This window comes from Homo sapiens, chromosome X, assembly GCF_000001405.40.
Source record: "Homo sapiens chromosome X, GRCh38.p14 Primary Assembly".
NCBI classification, from domain to species: Eukaryota; Metazoa; Chordata; class Mammalia; order Primates; family Hominidae; genus Homo; species Homo sapiens.
In genome coordinates, this window is record NC_000023.11 from 48,204,498 (window position 1) to 48,229,226 (window position 24,729).

At 44.1% G+C, this 24,729-nt stretch overlaps 3 pseudogenes; 2 read left to right on the forward strand and 1 right to left on the reverse strand.

Annotated features, from left to right (window-relative positions):
• On the forward strand, positions 1,761-1,877 carry RNA5SP503 (RNA, 5S ribosomal pseudogene 503; annotated as a pseudogene).
• SSX20P (SSX family member 20, pseudogene) lies at positions 8,294-13,513 on the forward strand (annotated as a pseudogene).
• Positions 24,188-24,488, reverse strand: S100A11P7 (S100A11 pseudogene 7; annotated as a pseudogene).
• Between the last annotated feature and the right edge of the window lie 241 nt (positions 24,489-24,729).

Here is a 24,729-nt window from a genome sequence, read left to right on the forward strand (position 1 = left end):
TCAGTAATTGCTTTTTCAACTATATCCGTTTTAATATCCAACCTATTCCACTGAATTATTTATTTGAGCATTTAATGTTTTCATATCCAATCTATCCAATAGGTTATTTATTTATTTATTTATGATGGAGTCTTGCTCTGTCACCCAGGCTGGAGTGCAGTGGCGCGATCTTGGCTCACTGCACCTCGCCTCCTGAGTCCAAGCAATTCTCCTGCCTCAGTAGAGAATTAAAAAAAAAAATAGCTGCATTTCGTGGTGCGTACCTGTAGTCCCAGCCACTCGGGAGGCTGGGGCAGGAGGATTGCTTTGGCCCTGGAGTTTGAGGCTGCAGTGAGCTAGGATTGGGTCACTGCACTCTAGCCTAAGTGACAGAGTGAGACAAAGTCTCTGTCTCTGAAAAATAAGAAAAAAGATTGTAGGGACGATTTTACTCAGAGTGGGGAGTACTATGATATGTACACGGGCCACTGCAACGGGGTTTTGGGTTAGGAGAGTGATATCGGGATCAACTTCAACTCCACCAAGGGCAAGTGGGGATTTATAGTCAAGGAGTAGGGTCAGGGGGTCAGAAGATGGGAAATTACTTGGAGGAGACATCAGGTGCAGGCAGATTCTGGCTAAACAGACTTGACAGGAATTTTGCTGAAACAGGCTAAATGGGCAGAGTCCCTGGATGGAGAGGCATGAGCCACCTCATCCGGCCAACTAGCTTTGTTTAATATGTCAGTTTTCATAAGTAATCTAGGTATAATTGTTAAAAATGAATAAAAGAGGTAAATGTGAGATACATGTTTATAAATGAACTTTTCATGTAATTTGAAATCTTTTTTCTCTTGCTCTTATCATAGGAAGATGAAATATTAAAGTTATGTTATGTTAGATTTAGTAATAGGTACTCGTTAAATGTCGGGATCACTTCCATCTAAGAAAATAACTGATACAAATCGCTAAACATAAATACAAGTTTGTTCTTGGCCCTTAAGTTTTATAAAAGAGAAAAGATATTTGGATCTGTTAATAAAATGCCCTGTTCTACATTGAAAATGTAGAAAATTGTTCTGGCCGGGGGAGGTGGCTCACGCCTGTAATCCTAGCACTTTGGGAGGCTGAGGTGGGTGGATCACGAGGTCAAGAGATCAAGACCATCCTGGCCAACATGATGAACCCCCGTCTCTACTAAAAATACAAAAATTAGCTGGGTGTGGTGGTGGGCACCTGTAGTCCCAACTACTTGGGAGGCTGAGGCAGGAGAATCGCTTGAACCCAGGAGCAGAAGTTTCTGTGAGCCTAGATTGAGCCACTGCACTCCTGCCTGGTGACAGAGCGAGACTCCGTCTCAAAAAAAAAAAAAAAAAAAAAAAAAAAAAAAAAAATTTTTAAAGATTATAAAATATATATTCATGATATGTTAATATATAACAATTCCAAACTACTTTCTAGATTTTTACTAAAAATTAAGGTTATGGCCGGGCGTGGTGGCTCATGCCTGTAATCTCAGCACTTTGGGAGGCTGAGGCAGGTGGATCACGAGGTCAGGAGTTCGTGAGCCAACATGGCGAAACCCCGTCTCTACTAAAAGTAAAAAAGTTAGCCAGATGTGTTGGCCCATGCCTGTAATCCCAGCTACTCAGGAGCCTGAGGCAGGAGAATCACTGGAACCCGGGAGGTGGAGGTTGCAGTGAGCTGAGATTGCGACACTGCCCTCCAACCTGGGTGACAGAGCAAGACTCTGTCTCAAAAAAAAAAAAAAAAGAAAAATAGTCTATGGCCATACCACCTGAATGCACCAAATATTGCATGATCTCAGAAGTTAAACAGGGTCAGACTTGGTTGGTACTTGGATTGCAGTCCAATATAAAAATGAAAAATTGTAGGACTAAGACTGGGGGTAAAAAAATGATGGAATGTCTACGCAAGTTGCTGAGGGTTTATGAAGGATGAGCCTTGGGAAGGGAGTCTTATATATCATCTGGTTGGTTGGGATTGAAAAGAAATTGTTTATCAGTTTTTCTAAAAATTGAACATTAGTATCAAGGGTGCACTGAAGCAGGGTGAGTCTGCTCCTCTAGGTTTGAAACAGGTTTTCTTAACATGTTGATCTGTTTTTCTTTATCTTTTAAATAATCAGTCTAAAAAAACAGGGATTTTGTTTTAAGATAGTTTCTTAACTGCATTTATTAGGTTTTTGTTTTTGTTTTGTTTTCTGAGATGGAGTCTCGCTCTGTCACCCAGGCTGGAGTGCAGTGGTGTGATCCAGCCACTGTAGTAAGCAAGGTTGCTCACTGCAACCTCCATCTCCCAGGTTCAAGTGATTCTACTGCTTCAGCCTCCCGAGTAGCTTGGATTACAGGTGCCCACCACCACGGCCGGCTAATTTTTGTCTTTTTAGTAGAGATGGGGTTTCACCATGTTGGCCAGGCTGGTCTCCAACTCCCGACCTCAAGTGATCTGCCTGCCTTGGCATCCCAAAGTGCTGAGATTACAGGTGTAAGCCCCCACACCCAGCTATAATTAGCAATAATATAATAAATTTAGTTTGTACAATGGTTTTGAATGAAGATCCCAAGCCTAGGGGCCACCAGCTAAACAAATCAGAAGACTACGGGGCAATTGAGTGAGACCTCTTATAGTCTTTGAGTAGTATTTTGGGACTGGGTTGAATTAAAGCAGAGTGCCGACTCTATAAAAGGGACCACTAGGTGAAGGAAAAGATTTGGGGTCAGGTTCTGTCAAGTGAAAAATGTAGACATTCAGGGGGTAAGATTCTCATTATGATATGAAGACTTATTCTGGCATCTTGAGAAAAGCTGTCTACAGTGTGGAAACATCAACTTCTCATCCTGACTTGTCGAGCAAATGTCTCTGGTTATGGCATTGGACAGTTTGGTGAACTTTTTATGTGGTCCATACATCAGGCATGAGACTTGTTCTTTAAAATTTGTGCAGTTTCACCTTGTAGGACTTGTAAATCAAAAATAAAATCCTAAGCCCCCTGCCCCCAACCATCTGAAAAGACTTCCTCCTAAGCCAGGGCTCTTTTAAAATTTAACCTGAGAGACGGTTTCAGGCCATGACAGGAAGTGGGGGTCAGACATGCCTCATTATACTTCTCTGGCATCAACATCAACACAGACTTGAAGTCTGATAAGAAACATGTTGGCCGGGCGCGGTGGCTCACGCCTGTAATCCCAGCACTTTAGGGGGCTGAGGAGGGCGGATCATGAGGTCAGGAGATCAACACCATCCTAGCTAACATAGTGAAATCCGGTATCTACTAAAAATACAAAAAATTAGCCGGGCGTGGTGGCACATGCCTGTAGTCTCAGCTACTCAGGAGGCTCAGGCAAGAGAATCGCTCGAACCCGAGAGCCAGAGGCTGCAGTGAGCAGAGAAGGAGCCACTGCACTCTAGCCTGGCGATATAGTGAGACTCTGTCTCAAAAAGAAAAAAAAAAATGTTACAACCTATTCTCTCTGAAGCATAGTACCTGAAGGCTTCCTCTGCAAATAAGAACTCAAAAAAAACTAAGAGCGACTCACTTCACGTAATCAACTTTCACAATGGTTAAAGCAGAGTCCTGCTTAGCAATGCACAAAAATTCTCCTTTGTGACCCATTCATTTTACTGCTGTTGACTTTCTTGCTTATCCTTTCAGACAGAGACACTCTTCTTTGACCAAACTTGAGTGGGGCTCCTCTGAGTCCTGTTTCTGACTAGGCCCCAACCTCGGGCTCTGTCCTTCATCCAGGGACTCTGCCCATTTAGCCTGTTTCAGCAAAAATCCTGTCAAGTCAGTTTAGCCAGAATCCCCCTGCACCTGAGGTTTCCTCCAAGTAATTTCCCATCTTCTGACCCCCCGACCCTACTCCTTGACTACAAATCCCCACTTGTCCTTGGTGGAGATGAAGTCGATCCCAATATCACTCTCCCACTGCAAGACCCCATTGCAGTGGTCCCTGTGCCTATCACAGGAGTCCCCCCTCTGAGTAAAATCATCCTTACGATCTTTTTGTTATTTTCAGAGACAAAGTCTCACTCTGTCACTCAGGCTGGAGTGCAGTGACCCAATCCTAGCTCACTGCAGCCTCAAACTCCAGGGCCCAAGCAATCTTCCTGCCCCAGCCTCCTGAGTAGCTGGGACTACAGATACGCACTACCAAATCCAGCTATTTTTTTTTTAATTCTGTATGAACCCAGGAACTTGATATGCCCATCTAATTCTTGTGGTTTTTTTTGTTTTTGTTTTTGTTTTTGTTTTTGTTTTTGTTTTTTGTAGAGATGGGGTTTCACCATGTTGCCCAGGCTGGTCTTGAATTCCTGGGCTCAACCAATCCTCTTGCCTCAGGCTCCCAAAGTGCTGGGATTACAGGCATGAGCCACTGCAGCTGGCCCTTCCTTACAGTCTTTAATAAGTGCAATAAATACTTGTTTGCTTTAACATTTCCCTGTGTCTTCAATCTCCTCAAGTGTTATATGCCTGACATTGCCATACTCCACCAAAAATATAAAAATTCCTTTCTTTCACGGGCGCAGTGGCTTACCCCTATAATCCCAGCATATTGGGAGGCCAAGGCGGACAGATAACCTCAGGTCAGGAGTTGGAGATCAGCCTGGCCAACATGGCGAAACCCCATCTCTACTAATTTTGTACTAAAAGTACAAAAATTAGCTGGGTGTGATAGTGTGCACCTGTAGCCCCAGCTACTCAGGAGGCTGAGGAGGAGAATCACTTGAAACTGGGAGGTAGAGGTTGCAGTGAGCTGAGATCATGCCACTGCACTCCAGCCTGGGTGACAAAGCGAGACTCTGTCTCCAAAAAAAGAAAAAAAAATTCCTTTCGTTCAACACTTTGGAGTTATTACACCATTGTATCCTTGCCTCCAGTGTGGTGTTTGAGAGATCTGATGAAGGCTGAAATATTTTTCCTTTGTAAGTAACCTGCTATTTTCCTCTGATCATTTAAAAAAAATTTTTGTCTTTCATAATTTTTCATTTCACTGTTCCTGTGTGTGTATGTGTGTGTGTACGATGATCCCTTTAAATCTTAAGATATTCCTCTAAATCTGAGAAATTCTCACTCATTACTTGTTTAAGTACACTCTCCTTTTTAATGACTATGTTCTCTTCTTATAAGGCTACTATTAGATGTGTTTTGACATTTATTCTTCTATGCTCCCTATTAATTAACTTTTCTTTCGTTTACTTCATCTCTATCCATTACCGATTACTTTTATGAATTCTTTAGACTAATTTCCTCAGGTCAGTAATTGCTTTTTCAACTATATCCGTCTTAATATCCAATCTATCCCAATGAATTATGTATTTGAGCAGTTAATGTCTTCATATCCAATCTATCCAATAGGTTTTATTTTTATTTATTTATTTGAGACAGAGTCTTGCTCTTTCGCCTAGGCTGGAGTGCAGTGACTCGATCTTGGCTCACTGCACCTCTGCCTCCTCCTGAGTCCAAGCAATTTTCCTGCCTCAGTCCCTTGAGTAGCTGGGACCACAGGCATGTGACACTATGCCTGACTAATTTTTGTATTTTTGTAGAGACGGGGCTTCACCATGTTGGCCAGGCTGGTCTCGAACTCCTGACCACAGGCGAGCCGTCTGCCTCAGTCTGTCAAAGTGCTGGGATTACAGGCATGAGCCACCGCGCCTGGCCTATCTCTGGAACTTCTATTGGATGAACGTTGAAACTTCTGGGATCTATTCTCCATTTCCTTTATTATTTTCCTTTCATATTTTCTATTTCATGATCCTTTTCTGCTATACGGTGAAGTAGTGCCATGCCTGAACACATTTTTTCATTGGGTTGTTCCAGTTTCTCTTATTGATATGCAAAAGCTTCGTTGTATATTAGAGATGGTTGCTGTTAATTTATTGTGGATGCTTCACCAATTTCCCCAACATTTGCCTTTTTAAACAGTTGTTTATGGTGTCTTTTGAATTAGATGATACTTTAATTTTTACATCTTTAAATTTGTCAGATTCATTGCTCATAGCCTTGGTGTAATGTCAGGAAATGCCTATGCCAACTCAAGATGTCTTACACTGTAATATTTTCCTAAATTGTCATCTAGTTCTTTATGACTTCACGTTTTCACATTTAAGTCACTGATTTTTTAGAATTTGTTATTTTATGTGGTTTAAATGGATAGACACTTGTCAAGCAATCATTTATTATGCAACCCATCATCTTTTGCCCACTGTTTGGAAATGCATGCTGATGTTTTCATATAGATTAGTCTGTTTCTTGACTTCTATTTTGTTTCACTAATAAATGTTTCTATGCGTATTCATTTTTTATTGCTGCTGTAACAAATTTTGAATAGCTTAGACACTGCTAGGCGCGGTGGCTCACGCCTGTAATTCCAGCACTTTGGGAGGCCGAGACAAGTGGATCGCTCAAGGAGTTCAAGACCAGCCTGGCCAACAAGGTGAAACCCCATCTCTACTAGGGGTTGGTGATGGGCGCCTGAAATCGCAGCTATTTGGGAGTTCAGAACAGTTCCCACTAACATTATTCCCTCATACACACCAGGGCTGAGTGAAAAAACAAATTGCACACAAAAAGTTAACTACAGAGGCCATTCATATAAAATGCTAAAACATGCAAAACAAGAGTATATATTTTTATGGATAATAAGTAAATGGTAAAGTATAAAAACATGAATGAGAATAAAAAACCATCAAATTGAGAAGAATGGCTGTAAGTGGAGAAGGAGGGAGGGCAGGGATTGCACAGAAAGCTTCAAGGTGACTTGTTGATAGTGGTTTTCTTTGTTTGTTTGTTTGTTTGTTTGTTTGTTTGTTTGTTTTTGATGGAGTTTCGCTCTTGTCGCCCAGGCTGGAGTGCAATAGCATAATATCAGCTCACTGCAACCTTCAACTCCCGGGTTCAAATCATTCTGCTGCCCACGCCTCCCGAGTAGCTGGAATTACAGGCGCCCGACCCACACCCAGCTATTTTTTTTATTTTTGGTAGCAACAAGGTTTCACCATGTTTGCCAGGCAGGTCTCAAACTTCCTCATCTCAGATGATCCACCTGCCTCAGCCTCCCAAAGTGCTCAGATTACAGGCATGAGCTACCACACCCAGCGCGTTTATAGTATTTCTAATACTCTGAATAAATAAATCAGATCTAACATAGCTGTGGGGTAATGTTGAGATCCGACTGGACTCAATAGTATTCCACATACTTTTCCACGTGTTTGAAATATTTCATTTTTAAAGGACATGTTGTTCTTGCTAAGCACTGTTAATGAATCAAAGGACAGTTAAGAAAATGTTACAAGTGAAAATATAAAAAAAGAAAATATTAAAAGCAAAGATCTGCAAAAAAAATCCAGAGTTTCTATAATTAACAGCATGTAAGTATTGGATAAGTATCTTATGAGAGAGGATAATGAACACATTATGTAATAAAGATGGATGTTTCTCTGTATTTTATCAAAACCAAATAGTCTTCTCATTCCCAAATAACCCCAATTCTCCGTGATGAGCTTGGAAGGGATTTTGAAAGAGTGATCCCTGATCCAAAACACAGAGAGCTTTCCCACTTGTCAGTGAGCAGAGATAACATAGAGTGAAAAAAAGACAAGTTCTTGCGAAGAGATTTTTGGGCATTTCAGGACTATTAATGGGACATATGTATTTACTTGCTCTTCTGCTCTGACAACACAATTATAAGACAAGGTCAGAAAGTCCAAACTGTCTCCAATAGACCTATTACTCGCCAACTAAACAGGCCAGATTCTACAATCTCCCACAATCACTATAAGGGACCTGAAAAGCCAGTGCTTGAGTATCTGCCAAGTTTTTGACGTTAAAGGACTGTTTTTATACTGAAAATATTTCAGAGCCACTGGACCAAATCATCCATGGTTCATCACACATTTAACAGCTTAATTCACATACCATAAGATTCACCCATTTGAAGTGTACAATGATTTTCAGTTGTTGCACATCTTGAGTGGATACAGTTCAGATTCCCAACCAATCAATTTAATTATTTGGGAAAAAGTAAAAGATATGTAATGGAATAAGATGAGACTGTGATGGGGTTTAGTCCCCATGTGATAAACCATGAGATGGAAAATTCTGAATTGAAGCCACAGATAAATGAACCAACCATGACTAAACATAATTTAGAAGCAAATCTCAAATAACTCCTCAACAATCAGTGGACTCATAACCTCTGCTGCAGAATGCCCTCATGCAACAGAAGTCTCTCTAGAGTTTGGAAATCTTCACCAACAAAGAAAAATTCTGATGTATTCTCTTTCAGTTGAACATCCTCAGATGACTTTCGGCAGGCTCCATAGAATCTTCCCGAAGGTGAGTGTCTCTCAAATCTAAAGGACCAGAGAACCTTTGTCCCTCCACGGATATGAACACTGGTAAGAGTGGAAGAATATCAAAAATACCCTCACTGCCTCCTCCCCATGTCTATCACAACACCTGATGTAGCATCAATGGCTTGATAATGCTAACAGTTGTGATCCTTAATATTTCTTTTGTTTTCATAGAGATGCCATATATTCTAAACAGTTTACATGGATTAATTTATTTAATCCTTAAGAATACCTCTACGACGACGTTTCTATTACTATCTCCAAATAATAATGAGTCACACACTTCAGTTATCATCCATATAAAAGCCATGTGAGTTGGCGCAAATCTTCTAAGTTCTCTGAGATCCAGACTTCTGGTCAATGAAATGGCAGTAAAGAATAATAGTTCATGTTATAGATCATAGTTATCAGTAAAATAATAATGAAATGAGGCTCTCCTTGTACAGAGATGTTAAAGAATTTTCCTGAGGCGCAGTGGCAGTGGTAGTCTAATCCAGAGCTCCAAGCCATTTGAAGCTCATTCACGTTTGCATTTGTTTATGAAGTTCAGATGTTGCTCACTAAGGCTTTACCCCATAGGGCCTGCTGGTGCTTCCATTGAGACACCCACTCTCACAACAGGAAGGACCAGCTGGCCTCTGCTCTGTTACCAGGGCCACTCGCATGGCTTAGGAATCGGTTTGACTCTTCACGGTCCCTCCCTACTGTGAGCTCCTTGAGGGCCTTGTCTACAAGTGGGGCATCCGGGAAGCCCCCGTCCCAGCCCAGGGGATCCCTCGGATTCCCCTGAATGAGTGATCCCAAAAGTGCAGATTCAACTCTGGTTTAGAGGGTAAAGGGATCTTGGAGTTGGGTTGCCATTGTGGAGACCAAATTCAAAGAAGGATCATGAAAAGTATTGTTTTTTATTATTACTACATTTAAACAGTGTTTGCAAGCTCAGAGAGGACATTCCTTTAGCCCATTTTACATGTATTTTTCACTATTTCATAAGTGAAAAAGCTGTATAAATGTAGTTTAACAATGTTGGTCAGTGACACATCCCAATGCAACCAGAATTGGTATGGGTACCACCTCACTGAATTCCACATTCAATGTTGGTGCCTCGGTAGGCTGGTATGCCAGATCTGGTACTGCTTTCTTTGCTGCCTAGATTAATTTCAGCAAACCATTTCTTTCCCTCTCCCTTCCCTGTATTCATCTCTCCACACCATCTTTCCCAGCAGTGTTTTGTCCCCTCTCTATGTTTTTATATTTACTCTCCGAGCAGCTGTCTACAAGCTTATATGGGATCCCTTGTATTTTATAGAAGCTCTTCCTTTTGTAGACCTTGTGAATTCTTAGAATGCTATGCTCCAAATCTTCTGTATACCAAACTCTCAATTACATGGAGATTTTTGCTGTTTGCAAGAATGTCAGTCTTAAAACAGTTTGAAGATAAACATTCTAACCCTGGAAACCCCAGTCATTTAGGCCATTCCTTTCCCTTCTAACCTCCCAGGTTTCTCCTAATTTAGGCCTGTGTAACAATCCCAGCATTGTTGAGAACATTGATTAAGGTAATGCATGTGAAGATTCTTTGTAAGCTCTAAAGCACTGTAGAAATGTCACTGATACAGTTTATCTGTCATCTTCACATTATACAGATCATGCCTGAGAAGCCAGCAGAGGAAGGAAATGATTCAAAGGAAGTGCTAGAAGCATCTGGCCCACAGAACGATGGGAAACAGCTGTGCCCCCCGGGAAAAGCAAGTAGCTCTGAGAAGATTCACGAGAGATCTGGTAAGAGGAAACGATTTGGGAACAACCCCTCTGGCTTCCCTGGCTATGTTCAGGTGTGTGGACTGGGTGTGTGGCATGGATCCCAGACAAGCCTGGGTCCAGACTGGCCTGAGGAGCTCACCCAGCTTCAGATGAGATGTTAGGCATGACTACCAGAGACACACATTTGAGTTGTCATCCATATAAATGTGCTCAAGCAATTCTATCTGTGATAACCTGGGATCATATCATACTCAGCTCAATGCCTGATACCCAATACAGGTGTACTTCAGAGATATTGCAGGTTCAGTTCCAGACCACTACAATAAAGTGAGTCACACACATTGTGTTTCGTTTGTTTCGCAGTGCATAAAAACATTATGTTTACACTATGCTATAATCTACTAAGTTTGCAATAGCATTATGTCTAAAAATGTACATACCCTAATTTTAAAATAATTCATTGTATAAAAATGCTAACAATCTTCGGAGCCTTCAGTGAGTCACACTCCTTTTGCTGGTGGAGGATCTTGCCTCGGTGTTGATGGCTGCTGGCTGATCTAGGTGGTGGTTCCTGAAGGGTGGAGTGGCTGTGGCAGTTTCTTAAAAGAACACAACAATGAAATTTGCCAAATCAGTTAGCTCTTCCTTTCATGAAAGATTTCTCTGTAGTATGTGATGCTATCGGATAGCATTTTATCCATAGTAGAGTTTCTTTCAAAGTTGGAGTCAATCCTCTCTTGCTATGAAAGTCCTAGATGGCATCTTCTTCAATATAGAAGGCTATTTTATCCGTATTGAAAATCTGTTCTTTAGTGTAGCCACCTTCATCAGTGACCTTAGCTAGATCTTCTGGATAACTTGCTGCAGCTTCTCCATCAGGGTTTGCTGCTTCACCTTGAACTTTTATGTTATGGAGACAGCTTCTTTCCTTAAACCTCATGAACCAACCTCTGCTAGCTTCACACGTTTCTCCTGCAGCTTCTTCACCTCTCTCAGCTTTCATGGACTTGAAGAGAGTTCGGGTCTTGCTCTGAATTAGACTTTGGCTTAAGTCAATGTTGTGGCTGGTTTCATCTTCTGTCCAGACCACTCAAACTTTCTCTATTTGAGCAGTAAGTCTGTTTTGCTTTCTTATTTGTGTGTTCACTGGAATATTAGTATTATTATTTCCTTCAAGAACTTTTCCTTTGCATTATATACTATTATTTCCTTCAAGAACTTTTCCTTTGCATTCACAGCTTGGCTGGTGCAAGAGGCCGAGCTTTCAGCCTGTCTTGGCTTTCAGCATGCTTCCTCACTAAGCTTAGGCATTTCTAGCTTCTGATTTAAAGTGAGAGACATGCGACTCTTCCTTTCATTTGAACACTTAGCGGCCATTGTAGAGTTGTTCATTGTCCTAATTTCAGTGTTGCTGTGTCTCAGGAAATAGGGAGGCCCAAGAAAAGGAGGAGAGATGGGGAAGAGCTCATCGATGGAGCAGTCAGAACACACACAACATTGATCGATTAAGTTTGTCATCTTCTGTGGGTGCAGTTCCTGTTACCCCCAAAATAATTACCCACAACAGGGTGATTACAGTCAATAATAACTTAACTGTACATTTTAAAAAACTAAAAGAGTGTAAATGGATTATTTGTAATGCAAGGATAAATGGTTGAGGGGATGGATACCCTATTTTCCATGATGTGATTATTACACATTGCATGCATGTATCAAAACATCTCATGTACCCCATAAGTAGATACACCTATTGTGTATACAAACAAAAAACAGAAAGTATTTTAAAAGACTAAAAAACAACTACAATAATAACATCGAAACTCACTGATCACAGATCACTATAAGAGATATAATCGTTAATGGGTGCAGCACACCAACATGGCACATGCCTCCATATGTAACAAACCTGCACGTTGTGCACATGTACCCTAAAACTTAAAATATAATAATAATAAAATTAAAAACAAATAAATATATTTGAACCTAATTATATACATTCAGAACTTCATACAAATTTGGACTGGAGTTATATACAAATTTATTAAAATAGTAAAATTAAAAATAATAATAATAATGGGTTAAGGTCTCAGCCTCTCTAAGCCAGAGAATGTGAAAAACTGGATAAAGAAGGCCCATGGGCACTTGGGATGGGGAGGCATCTCCTTTTTTTAAGAAAACAGAGCCTAACACTCTCCAACCTACCCAACTCTTATCTTCCAACTCTTCTCCATCATAGGAACCAAAAGAGGGAAACATGCCTGGATCCACAGACTGCGTGAGAGAAAGCAACTGGTGATTTATGAAGAGATCAGCGACCCTGAGGAAGACGACAAGTAACTCCATAAGTGAACATTCGGCTCACCCTCCACATCCCTGCAGATGTGCTAGCTATTCTGTTATGGTACTGGTATCCAATCTTGTCACTTATTCCCCAAATCATTCCCTTCTCATAATTTTCTAGGGTACAGCATTGAGGTTGAATGACGAGATTTTCCATGCTCTTTCTACTCCCTGCCCTATATATCCAGGGATCCTCCCTACCCCGGATGCTGTGGGTTCCCAAACCCCAGGTCAGCACTGATATGCGGGCCACACCTTCCTCTAGCCTAGGAATAGATAACCCAGGCAAGGAAGTCACTGTGGCATGAGCAGATGGTTCACTTCGAGGAACCGTGGAAGCCATGTGCAGGTCCTGGGGTAGGACAGAATCAGAGTGTGCAGGGTCTGCAGGACAGGAGGAGTTGAGATTGAGTTGTCACGTGGTGGGAACTCACTGCCACTTATTTCCTTCTCTCTTCTTGCCTCAGCCTCGGGGATATGACACATGCCCATGATGAGAAGCAGAATGTGGTGACCTTTCACGAACATGGGCATGGCTGCGGACCCCTCATCATCAGGTGCATAGCAAGTGAAAGCAAGTGTTCACAACAGTGAAAAGTTGAGCGTCATTTTTCTTAGTGTGCCAAGAGTTCGATGTTAGCATTTCCGCTGTATTTTCTTGCAGTGTGCCATTCTGCTAGCTATTAGTGTTTTCATTGATGAGCAAGACGTAATGCATATTTCGGTCTGTGTATCCATGCACCTATCTCAGAAAAGAAGTATTGTCAGGTATTCTCTCCATAGAACAGCACTACCCTCCTCTCTCCCCAGATGTGACTACTGAGGGGAGGTCTGAGTGTTTAATTTCAGATTTTTTCCTCTGCATTTACACACCACACACACACACACACACACACCAAGTACCAGTATAAGGATCTCCCATCTGCTTTTCTCCATTGCCATGCATCCTGGTCAAGCCCCCCTCACTCTGTTTCCTGTTCAGCATGTACTCCCCTCATCCGATTCCCCTCTATCAGTCACTGCCAGTTAATAAACCTTTGCAAACGTTCCCCAGTTGTTTGCTCCTCTCATTGTTGTGCACACAGCTCTGAGCATGTGTGTGAATACTTCTTTAGGAAAGATTCTTAGAAGTGGAATTGCTGTGTCAAAGGAGTCATTTATTCAACAAAACCCTAATGAGTGTGTCCTCGTGCTGAGCGCTGTTCTAGGTGCTGGAGAGACCTTGGGGAACAAGGCAGACAGATGTTCCTGACCACCATTCTAGAGGAGGATGTCTCCAGTTGTTTGTTTGTTTGTTTCTAGAGACAGGGTCTTGCTCTGTCCAGGCTGAAGTGCAGGGGGATGATCATAGCTCAATGCAACCTTGAACTCCTGGGATCAAGTGATCCTCCCACCTTGGCCTCCTAAAGTGCTGTGATTACAGGCATGAGCCACTGCACCTGGCCTCCAGTTTTTATTTTGATAGAGACGATACACTTCAGTCCTGGAGCAGGATTCTGCAGCAGGTGGTTGGGAATCTTGGCCTTCTCTCTCTGAACGATTTTTGCATTCTAGGGCTGGGACAGTCCATTTGGGAGTATGTGGGAGGAGACACAGATGAAATCGTCATCTGGGGAACGTGGAGGAATGAGGAATATGCATGCACTGTAGACCCTGTGATGGCCAGGGAATAGAAGAGTCCACTTAGTCTCCCTGCAAAGGAGCAACGGTGGGAAAGTCCCCTTGACAGAAGCATGAGACTGCCCATCAAGAGTCTCACCACCCAAGGGCCTGGGGGCTGGGGTGGGGACGATGATTTGGGAATGGGACAGTTCTTCCTGACATGTACCATTGCATGGTGCAGAGGTGAAACAGTTGTGGGGAAGGAAGAGCAGAGGGGAGTCCATTTTAGAACAAACCAGTGTGTGTGAATGAAGACATTAAAGCTCCATTCACACACAACAGACTTGAAACACCAGCCCCAGGTGGAGGCAGGATTGGAGCTGTTTTGACCATTCATACCCCATCACCTTGGCCTCCTGGTTCTCCCCAGCCTTGGAAGGAGGACACTATCATCATTATGCCTATATGATAGATGAGAGACAGAGTCCAGACAGATGGTAGGCATCTTGTCACAGGTCCTACAGCTGGCAGGTGCAGGAGGAGCTGAGTTTGGATCTCACTGACTTCAGAAACATTAAGGAGGACAGGTGTGTGTGGTGGAGGGAGGAGGAATTGAACAAGCCCCGGGCTCTGTCCCCAATCACAATGTAAAGGCTGTGGGTTCCTTTACCCAAGACAAGGAGCCCTAGGAGAGAGAGAGAGCAGGGAGGGAGAGGCAATCGTGGTCATAGTGGGGACAGTGGGAGACAGAGATATGCAGCGTGGGCAGAAGAGAGGCAGGCAAAGAAGCAGGGGATACCCAAGGCCACGTGTGGGCTGTCACAGCCACCAGAGGGAGAGGGTGCCAGGAAGGAAGTTGTGGGGCTCCAGGAGCAACAGAGGTTCCCCAGATCTGTGAGCATGCCCTACCTGGCACTTCAGGAAGAGGTGGCTTCCACCCAGGTCAGTGTGGATGTACCTCTACCTGTGTCTCAGAGGAAACAAATTCTATTTTATCCCAATGTAGTTCTATATGACACAAATGTAGCATTCAGCTACTAGATATCGAGTGCCTTATCCTCCATGTAAATACAGCAGAGGATACCCTAAAAGAGATACTGAAGGTTTTGATTTTTCTTTCTCCCTGGGAAGATGGGATCCATAAGTTGGGTCCCCCAGCCCACAAGACAGGTGCCAGGAAGGGTAGCTGGAAGATTGTGAGTTATGACAGGGAACATTTTTCCTTAGGTTCCATGGGTATATAAAGCTCCAGACTATCTGTCTGTCATGGATAGATGAAGAGTGAACATGGTCCCCTCTCCACAAATGTGTTTCTCTCCTTCATTACTACTGTAAAGGGCTGAAGTTACACCAAGTTTTGATACATTACTTTTTGGGAGCAAGCCCCCCAAAATCTGGCCATAAACTGGCCCCAAAACTGGCCATATAGAAAATCTCTGCATCACTGTAACATGTTCATAATGGCCCTAACGCCCAAGCTGGAAGGTTGTGGATTTACTGGAATGAGAGCAAGGAACACCTGGCCTGCCCAGGACGGAAAAACGCTTAAAGGCGTTCTTAAGCCACAAACAATAGCATGAGTGATCTGTGCCTTAAGGACATGCTCCTGCTGCAGTTAACTAGCCAAATCTATTCCTTTCATTCGGCCCATCCCTTCATTTCCCATAAGTGATATTTTTAGTTAATCGTATATCTATAGAAACAATGCTAATGAGTGCTTTGCTGTTAATAAATAGGTGGGTAAATCTCTGTTCCAGGCTCTCAGCTCTTAAAGCTGTAAGATCCCTGATTTCCCACTTCACACCTCTATATTTCTGTGTGTGTGTCTTTAATTCCTCTAGCGCTGCTGGGTTAGTTATGGTCTCCCCAACCGAGCTGTTCTCGGCAATTAATTTTTTGGGTTTTTGTGAGACAAGATAGTGCTCTGTTGCCCAGGCCGGAATGCAGTGGTGCAATTACAGCTCACTGCAGCCTGGATCTCCAAAGCTCAAGGGATTCTCCCACTTCTGCTTCCTAACTAGCTGGGATTACAGGCACAGGCCACCACACCCAGCTAATTTTTGTATTTTTTGTGGAGATGGGATCCCACTATGTTGCCCAGGCTTGTCTCGATCTCCTGGCCTCAGCAATCCTCCTGCCTCAGCCTCCCAAAGTGCTGGGATGACAAGTGTGAGCCACCTCGCCAGGCCTTCACTTTCTTTAATGAACAATTATCAGAGTTTCATCTTAGAGGCAAAAGTGGCTACTGCCAGCCAATCTGAGTGTGGTGTTGGAGTGGAATCTCGCTGATTCAGATGTTTCTAATGAACTTTTAAATACCTGATGATTATCCTAAGGCCCTTTCCAGCTCCGTGTTTTATTGATTCAGAGTTTGGAGTTTTTCAGAGGCTTTGTTACAAAGAGCATCTCCTGACTGGGCGCAGTGACCCATGTTGTAATCCCAGCACTTTGGGAGGCCAAGGCAGGCAGATCACTTGAGGTCAGGAGTTCGAGAACAGCCTGGCCTACATGGCAAAACCCCCGTCTCTACTAAAAATATAAAAATTAGCCGGCCGTAGTGGCGGGCGCCTGTGAATCCCAGTTACTGTGAGGACTGAGGCAAGAGAATCACTTGAACCTGGGAGACAGACCCTGCAGTGAGCTGAGATCAAGCCACTGCACTCCAGCCTGAGCAACAGAGTAAGTCTCTGTCTCAAAAAGCAAACAGCATCTCTTTATTACAGTGATTTGAGCTGTGGTCTTGTCTCCTTGGGTTTCTCTATCAGTCTGATCCCAACTACTCTATCTCCCAGGAATGCCTCAATATTTCTGGTGGACACGTTTTCCTATTTCCCTCTACTGTTAAGAATTGACGGCCAGGCGCAGTGGCTCATATCTGTAATTCCTGCACTTTGGGAGGCTGAGGTGGGCGGATCACAAGGTCAGGAGATCGAGATCATCCTGGCTAACACAGTGAAACCCTGTCTCTACTAAAAAATACAAAAAAAAATTAGCCGGGTGTGGTGGCGGGCACCTGTAATCCTAGCTACTGAGGAGGCTGAGGCAGGACAATGGCATGAACCCAGGAGGCGGAGCTTGCAGTGAGCCGGGATTGCACCACTGCTCTCCAGCCTGGATGACAGAGCAAGACTCTGTCTCAAAAAAAAAAAAAAAAAAAAAAAGAGCTCTCCCTCTCCCTCTCCCTCTCCCTCCCCCTCCCCTCCCCCCCCTCCCCCTCTCCCTCTCCCCACGGTCTCCCTCTCCCTCTCTTTCCATGGTCTCCCTCTGATGCCGAGCCGAAGCTGGACTGTACTGCTGCCATCTCGGCTCACTGCAACCTCCCTGCCTGATTCTCCTGCCTCAGCCTGCCGAGTGCCTGTGATTGCAGGCTCGCGCCGCCACGCCTGACTGGTTTTCGTATTTTTTTGGTGGAGACGGGGTTTCGCTGTGTTGGCCGGGCTGGTCTCCAGCTCCTAGCCTCAAGTGATCCGCCAGCCTCGGCCTCCCGAGGTGCCGGGATTGCAGATGGAGTCTCGTTCACTCAGTGCTCAATGTTGCCCAGGCTGGAGTGCAGTGGCGTGATCTCGGCTCGCTACAACCTCCACCTCCCAGCCGCCTGCCTTGGCCCCCCAAAGTGCCGAGATTCCAGCCTCTGCCCGGCCGCCACCCCATCTGGGAAGTGGGGAGCGTCTCTGCCTGGCCGCTCATCGTCTGGGATGTGAGGAGCCCCTCTGCCTGGCTGCCCAGTCTGGAAAGTGAGGAGCGTCTCTGCCCGGCCTCCATCCCATCTAGGAAGTGAGGAGCGCCTCTGCCCGGCCACCCATCGTCTGAGATGTGGGGAGCGCCTCTGCCCCGCCGCCCCGTCTGGGATGTGAGGAGACCCTCTGCCTGGCAACTGCCCCGTCTGAGAAGTGAGGAGCCCCTCCGCCTGGCAGCCACCCTGTCTGAGAAGTGAGGAGCCCCTCCGCCCGGCAGCCACCCCATCTGGGAAGTGAGGAGCGTCTCCGCCCGGCAGCCGCCCCGTCCGGGAGGGAGGTGGGGGGGTCAGCCCCCCGCCCGGCCAGCCGCCCCGTCCGGGAGGTGTGGGGCACCTCTGCCCGGCCGCCCCTACTGGGAAGTGAGGAGCCCCTCTGCCCGGCCACCACCCCGTCTGGGAGGTGTACCCAGCAGCTCATTGAGAACGGGCCATGATGACAATGGCGGTTTTGTGGAATAGAAAGGGGGGGAAGGTGGGGAAAAGATTGAGAAATCAGATGGTTGCCGTGTCTGTGTAGAAGGAAGTAGACATGGGAGACTTTTCATTTTGTTCTGTACTAAGAAAAATTCTTCTGCCTTGGGATCCTGTTGACCTGTGACCTTACCCCCAACCCTGTGCTCTCTGAAACATGTGCTGTGTCCACTCAGGGTTAAATGGATTAAGGGCGGTGCAAGATGTGCTTTGTTAAACAGATGCTTGAAGGCAGCACGCTCGTTAAGAGTCATCGCCACTCCCTAATCTCAAGTACCCAGGGACACAAACACTGCGGAAGGCTGCAGGGTCCTCTGCCTAGGAAAACCAGAGACCTTTGTTCACTTGTTTATCTGCTGACCTTCCCTCCACTATTGTCCTATGACCCTGCCAAATCCCCCTCTGCGAGAAACACCCAAGAATGATCAATAAAAAAAAAAAAGAAATAAGAAAAAGAAAAAAAAAAAAAAAAAAAGAATTGACCCTTGAAAACATTTTCTCCCCAGTTCAATGGAATGTTGAGTGGGGCACGGGATCTATCTGCCATCTTGCTCCATTCATCTTGTTTTAGATATTTTATGTATATTTGTCACTATATAAGTGTAGTTTTTCTCAATTTGGTTTTGTAATTGGTTATTACAGGTATGTAGAAAACCTATCTATGATTGTATATAATATTTGTCTACGGCCATACCACCCTGAACATGCCCGATCTCGTCTGATTGTATATAATATTTTGTTACCTGTTTGGGTGCAGCTTCCCCTGCATTTTGGCACAAGACTCAATCTGTTTTATTCTGCAAAAGAAAACTGACAGCAGTGGCTTATGCCTGTAATCCCAGCACTTTGGTAGGCCAAGGCGGGTGGATCCCCTTAGGACAGGAGTTCAAGACCAGCCTGGCCAAGATGGTGAAACCCCATCTGTACTAAAAATACAAAAAAAAAATTAGCCAGGCGTTGGTGGTGCATGCCTGTATTCTCAGCTACTAGGGCAGCTGAGGTGGGAGGATCACTTGAACTCGGGAGGTGGAGATTGAAGCGAGCCGAGATCGCCCCAGTGCACTCCAGCCCGGGAGACAGGGATTCTATCTCTAAATAAAAAAAGAAAAAGAAAAAAAGAAAATTCACTTCACAGGCAATAGACAGTTATAAAAGGATACTTTGTGGATGATTTCATAGGGGAGACTGATGGAAATAAAGGAAGTATATATTTTACAGAGCTGAGCAGTTCACTGCAAAAATCAACAGAGCTGCCTTTTTCTCCAAAAATTTTACCCCTAAGCTATTCTACTACTGGTTCTTCTAGTCCTTCCCTCTATTCCAAATCCTCAAATTGTCCATTTCCTTATTGGGATAATTTTCCTCTGCCCAGATCTGGGTCCTCCACATGTAACACTGTCTTCGGTGTTTGAATGTCCATTGTTTTAGGTCAGGTTCCCAAGGAAACAGAATTTGGGCCATTCCGGACACCTCTAGACAGACTATACTGAGAAACCATGCCTGGAATGGTGCAGGGGGAGAGGAGAGGAGAGGGAATTTACATACCTGGCTCTCACTCCTGGTTCCTTTTCTTATTGGTCAAAATTTACCCCACAGTCAGGCACTCTCCTACACTTCTAGATTGCATCATCTGCCCCTTTCACAGCTGTCTGGAAAGCCAGATCCCACACTTTGAAGTGTAGTGTTTCATACAATACAAAAATGGTAGCAGAGACCAGGTGCAGTGGCTCACGCCTATAGTCCCAGCACTTTGGGAGGCCGAGGCAGGCAGATCATGAAGTCAGGAGTTCGAGACCATCCTGGCCAGCATGGTGAAAGCCCATCTCTACTAAAAATACAAAAATTAGCCGGGCATGGTGGTGCACACCTGTAATCCCAGCTACTCTGCAGGCTGAGGTAGGAGAATCGCTTGACCCTGGGGGGCTGAGTTTGCAGTGAGCTGAGATCCCACTGCTGCCCTTCAGCCCGGGTGACAGAGCAAGACTCTGTCTCAAAAACAAACAAACAAACAAAAGTGGTAGCAGAAGTCAGAAAGTCCAGGTATGTAGCTAATTGGCCTGCTAGTACAGCAGCAGCTAAGGGTGAAAACTGAATACTCCCAGTCAAATCCTAAGTTCACCGAGTAATTGGAGTACCCATCTGTGTTAATTAATTGCTTTTATCTGAAAGAAAAATAAAACTCATTTATCTATGACAAGCAGGTGCTTACAGCTTGGAGCAAGGCACCTAGGCTAAACTCGCCTGCTGACAAGGAGACAAGGACATCATGTTCCTCAAAGTTCACATTTCAAAGAGATGGCTCCAAGGCCCTGAAGAAAGACATTCCTAGGGAATGGGCGTGGTGGCTCATGCCTGTAATCCCAACACTTTGGGAGGCTGAGGCTGGAGGATCACTTGAGGCCTGGAGTTCAAGTTCAAGACATTCCTGGGTTCTAGGATGGCCAGAGGCTTACAGATCAAAGGAATAATTTACAAATACAAATTTTCTCAAGAAAATGCTCTAAGGAAAGTGAAATGGGGAAAGGTCTCTTCTTGCCCTTTTGGCAACAGGAAAAACTCAATTTATGTTTAGTTACCCTTAAAATTTCCCACTTTTGTTATTCTTTTATAGTAACACTACAATTTTCTAATTATCTCCACTGCTGTTTCTATCTTTCTCTGGGTAGTTTATGGCCACCTAGATATCCAACAAATCCATAATAAGATGCAAAGCAAAGCAATTATCAGGATTATAATAGAATGTTTTTTTTTTTTTCAGGACAGAGTTTCACTCTTGTTGCCCAGGCTGGAGTGCAATGGTGCGATGTCAGCTCACTGCAACCTCCATCTCCTGAGTTCAAGCTATTCTCCTGCCTCAGCCTCCCGAGTAGCTGAGATTACAGGCATGTGCCACCACGCCCAGCTAATTTTGTATTTTTTGTGGAGATGGGGTTTCACCATGTCAGCCAGGTTGGTCTTGAACTCCTCACCCCAGGTGATCAGCCCACCTTGGTCTCCCAAGGTGTTGGGATTACAGACATGAGCCACCACTCCCAGCCTAGAAAGAGTTTTTAAATTCAGTATAATACTCACCTTCTCGGGGCGGGGGACCTTTAAACACATCATACTGGTTAAATGCATCAAAGTCAAAATAAATTATAGAGACAAATCCCTAAATCAAATGCTGTATTTGGGAATCACAAAGTTGCAATTCAGGGCATACACACGGACTGCGGTGGTCTTCAGTATGTCCAATGAACAAACAGAAGTTGGAAGCTTTATCAGAATGAAAAATGTTACATATTGTTTTGAAATGAGACTCATTGGCATGAGGCTTATTGGCACTGGAGAAGCTGGTTCGTTCGCACAATCAGCTTTCACATTCCCTCTTTTGATCAAGATCTTTCTTTGAAAACCTCACTGATCAGCCATCTTAAAGTGAGGCTTCATTGTCACTGCATGCCAGGATGGACCTGTGCCAGTTGTCTTTGTCCCATGTCAAGGGAAAGGTAAGGGAGTCTATATCAGGGACATGGGCCACATTTGAGCAAAAAAGAGGTCAGAAGGAAAAAAAAATTCAGGCAGATTTGTCTGGAGTTCAGCAACAAGTTCCATTTTATTAGTACCATCTGCATTAGCAATCATCTTGAAGCACTAGGCCAACATTATCCTGTTGGGAGAACTGGCTTAACAAATATTACACAGACAAAATAATGGAGCTCGGAGATCATAATACAAAACTACTTAGCAATTGTTGTATTGTATTGTGTTGTGTTGTATTGTATTGTGTTGTATTGTATTGTATTGTATTGTATTGTATTGTATTGTATTGTATTGTATTGTATTGTATTGCATTGCATTGTATTGTATTGAGATAGAATCTTGCTCTGTCACCCAGGCTGGAGGTGGCACAATCCCGGCTCACAGAAACCTCCACCTCCTGGGTTTAAGCGATTCTCCTGCCTCAGCCTCCCGAGTAGCTGGGATTACAGGTGCCCCCCACCACTCCAGGCTAATTTTTGTGTTTTCAGTAGAGACAGGATTTTACCACGTTGGCACTCACTGCAACCTTTGTCTCCTGGGTTCAAGCAATTCTCGTGTCTCAGCCACCTGAGTAGCTGGGATTACAGGCACCCGCCACCACACCTGGCTAATTTTTTTGTTAATTTTCATAGACACCAGGTTTCACCATGTTGGCGAGGCTTGTCTTGAACTCCTGACCTCAGGTGATCTACCTGCCTTGGCCTCCCAAAGTGCTGGGATTACAGGTGTGAGCCACCAGCCCGGCTCAACCTAGGTTTTTAGATAAACCCAACCAATTGCCAACCAGAAAATTTTTAAATCTACCCATAAGCTGGAAGCCCCTGCTTCGAGTTGTCCTGCCTTTCTGGACCAAACCAATGTACTTCTTAAATGTATTTGACTGAGTCTCCATAAAATCTATAAAACCAAGCTGCACCCCAACCTCCTTGGGGAACTCAGGACCTCCTGAGGCTGTGTCATGGGCCATGGTCACTCCTATTTGGCTCAGATTAAGTCTCTTCAAGTGTTTTCCAGAGTTTGACTCTTTTCATCAGCAGACTTCAGGAACAGAGCAGAATCTGTTTTTAGTAATTTTATGGGAAAAAGTTGGAACTAGTCTATTCTATATGTAGATAACAAGAACTCGGCCGGGCGCAGTGGCTCACACCTGTAATTGCAGTACTTTGGGAGGCTGAGGTGAGTGGACCACGAGGTCAAGAGATCAAGACCATCCTGGCTAACATGGTGAAACCCCATTTCTACTAAAAATACAAAAATTAGCTGGGCATGGTGGCATGCACCTGTAGTCTCAGCTATTCGGGAGGCTGAGGCAGGAGAATCACTTGAACAGGCGAGGCGCAGGTTGCAGTGAGCCAAGATCGTGCCACTGCACTCCAGCCTGGTGACAGAGTGAGATTCCGTCTCAAATAAAAACAAACAAAACACCAAGACCTCGAAACAATGCACAGAGCTACAATCTAATAACTGATCTATTAGAACTTTTCTTTAGCAACATAATTTTTCTCTATATATTGATCGCTTAGGAATCTCAGATTTAAAAACCTCTTGAGGATAGAAAGTCAAACCAAGGCAGACCTTAGATTTCACCTACCTTTTTAAGGTTCCTGGGGCTGACAGAAAGTGACCGTTTTTATTCACCCACTCTAAAGCTAAAAACACTTGAAGTCAGGCATTCCATGCATTTTGATGAAAGCCTTGGTAATATAGCCAATGTTTTATTTTTTTTTTTTCTTTTTGAGACAGGGTCTTGCTCTGTCACCCAGGCTGGTGTGCAGTGATGAGATCTCAGCTCACTGCAGCCTGCACCTCCTGGGCTCAACCAGTTCTCCTGCCTCAGCCTCCTGAGTAGCTGGGATTACAGGCGTGTGACACCATGCCTGGCTAAATATTTTTGTATTTTTAGTAGATATGTGATTTCACCATGTTGGCCAGGTTGATCTCAAACTCCTGACCTCGGGTGATCCACCTGCCTCAGCCTCCCACAATGCTGGGATTATAGGCGCAAGCTACTGTGCCCTGCCCTATAACCAATGTTTTTAATTGTATCCCTCTATAAAAAAAAGAGAGCAGAGATTTTTTTGTTTGGGTTTTTGTTTGTTTGTTTGTGCTGAAAAAAAAAAGTGGGCTAGGTTCAATGCCTCACACCTGTATTCCCAGAACTTTTGGAGGCCACTTTAGCCCAGGAGTTCAAGACCAACTTGGCCAACATAATGAGACAAAAAAAAAAGGAAAAGAGAAAAGAAGAGAAGTATGGTTTTATTACTACCTGCAGGCAGGGCCTGCATGAGGTGGTAGGTGTGCTGGGCTCAGGGGACGTGTGGGCTGTAAGGAGATGGTGATGGTGAGGCTGGAAGGAAAGGGGGTGGCTTGGAAACCAGGCCCAAGGGATCCTCAGATCCGCTTCTTGGAATGGGAAGCCTTTAAAAAAGAGTCATGGTAAGCCACAGTCATGCCATCCATCAGATGCAGACATTCTTGGAAATCTAACTGCCCATCACTAGTGAGGTCCAGTTTCTTCATCATATGGTCAAAGACACTGGGGCCCTCTGGTTCTTCGTGAAGGCATCCAGTTCTCTATTCATGAAGCCTGGGAACTCCATCTTGGAGTGAATGCTATTGTAACCATCCTTTCCAGTCTATTTCTGGAAAACAGCAATCAGGGACTCTCTGTAGGGCTGGAGATTTTTGCCATGTTGGAGTTGAATGAGGCACCAAGAGCAGGTTTTTACTGGACCTGTGTAAATAACCATATTGGCATAAGAATATTTCCAAATAGTTTTCAAATTCTGGAGGAATCGAGTAGAAAGAAAAAGCAAACATTTCCATCTTAGTTTACAAAAGTATACTTTACAAAATTGTTATAAACTATAGATAATTTAACAGAGAACATTTTCTCTTTTTTTTCTTCATTTTTTTGAGAAAGGGTTGCACTC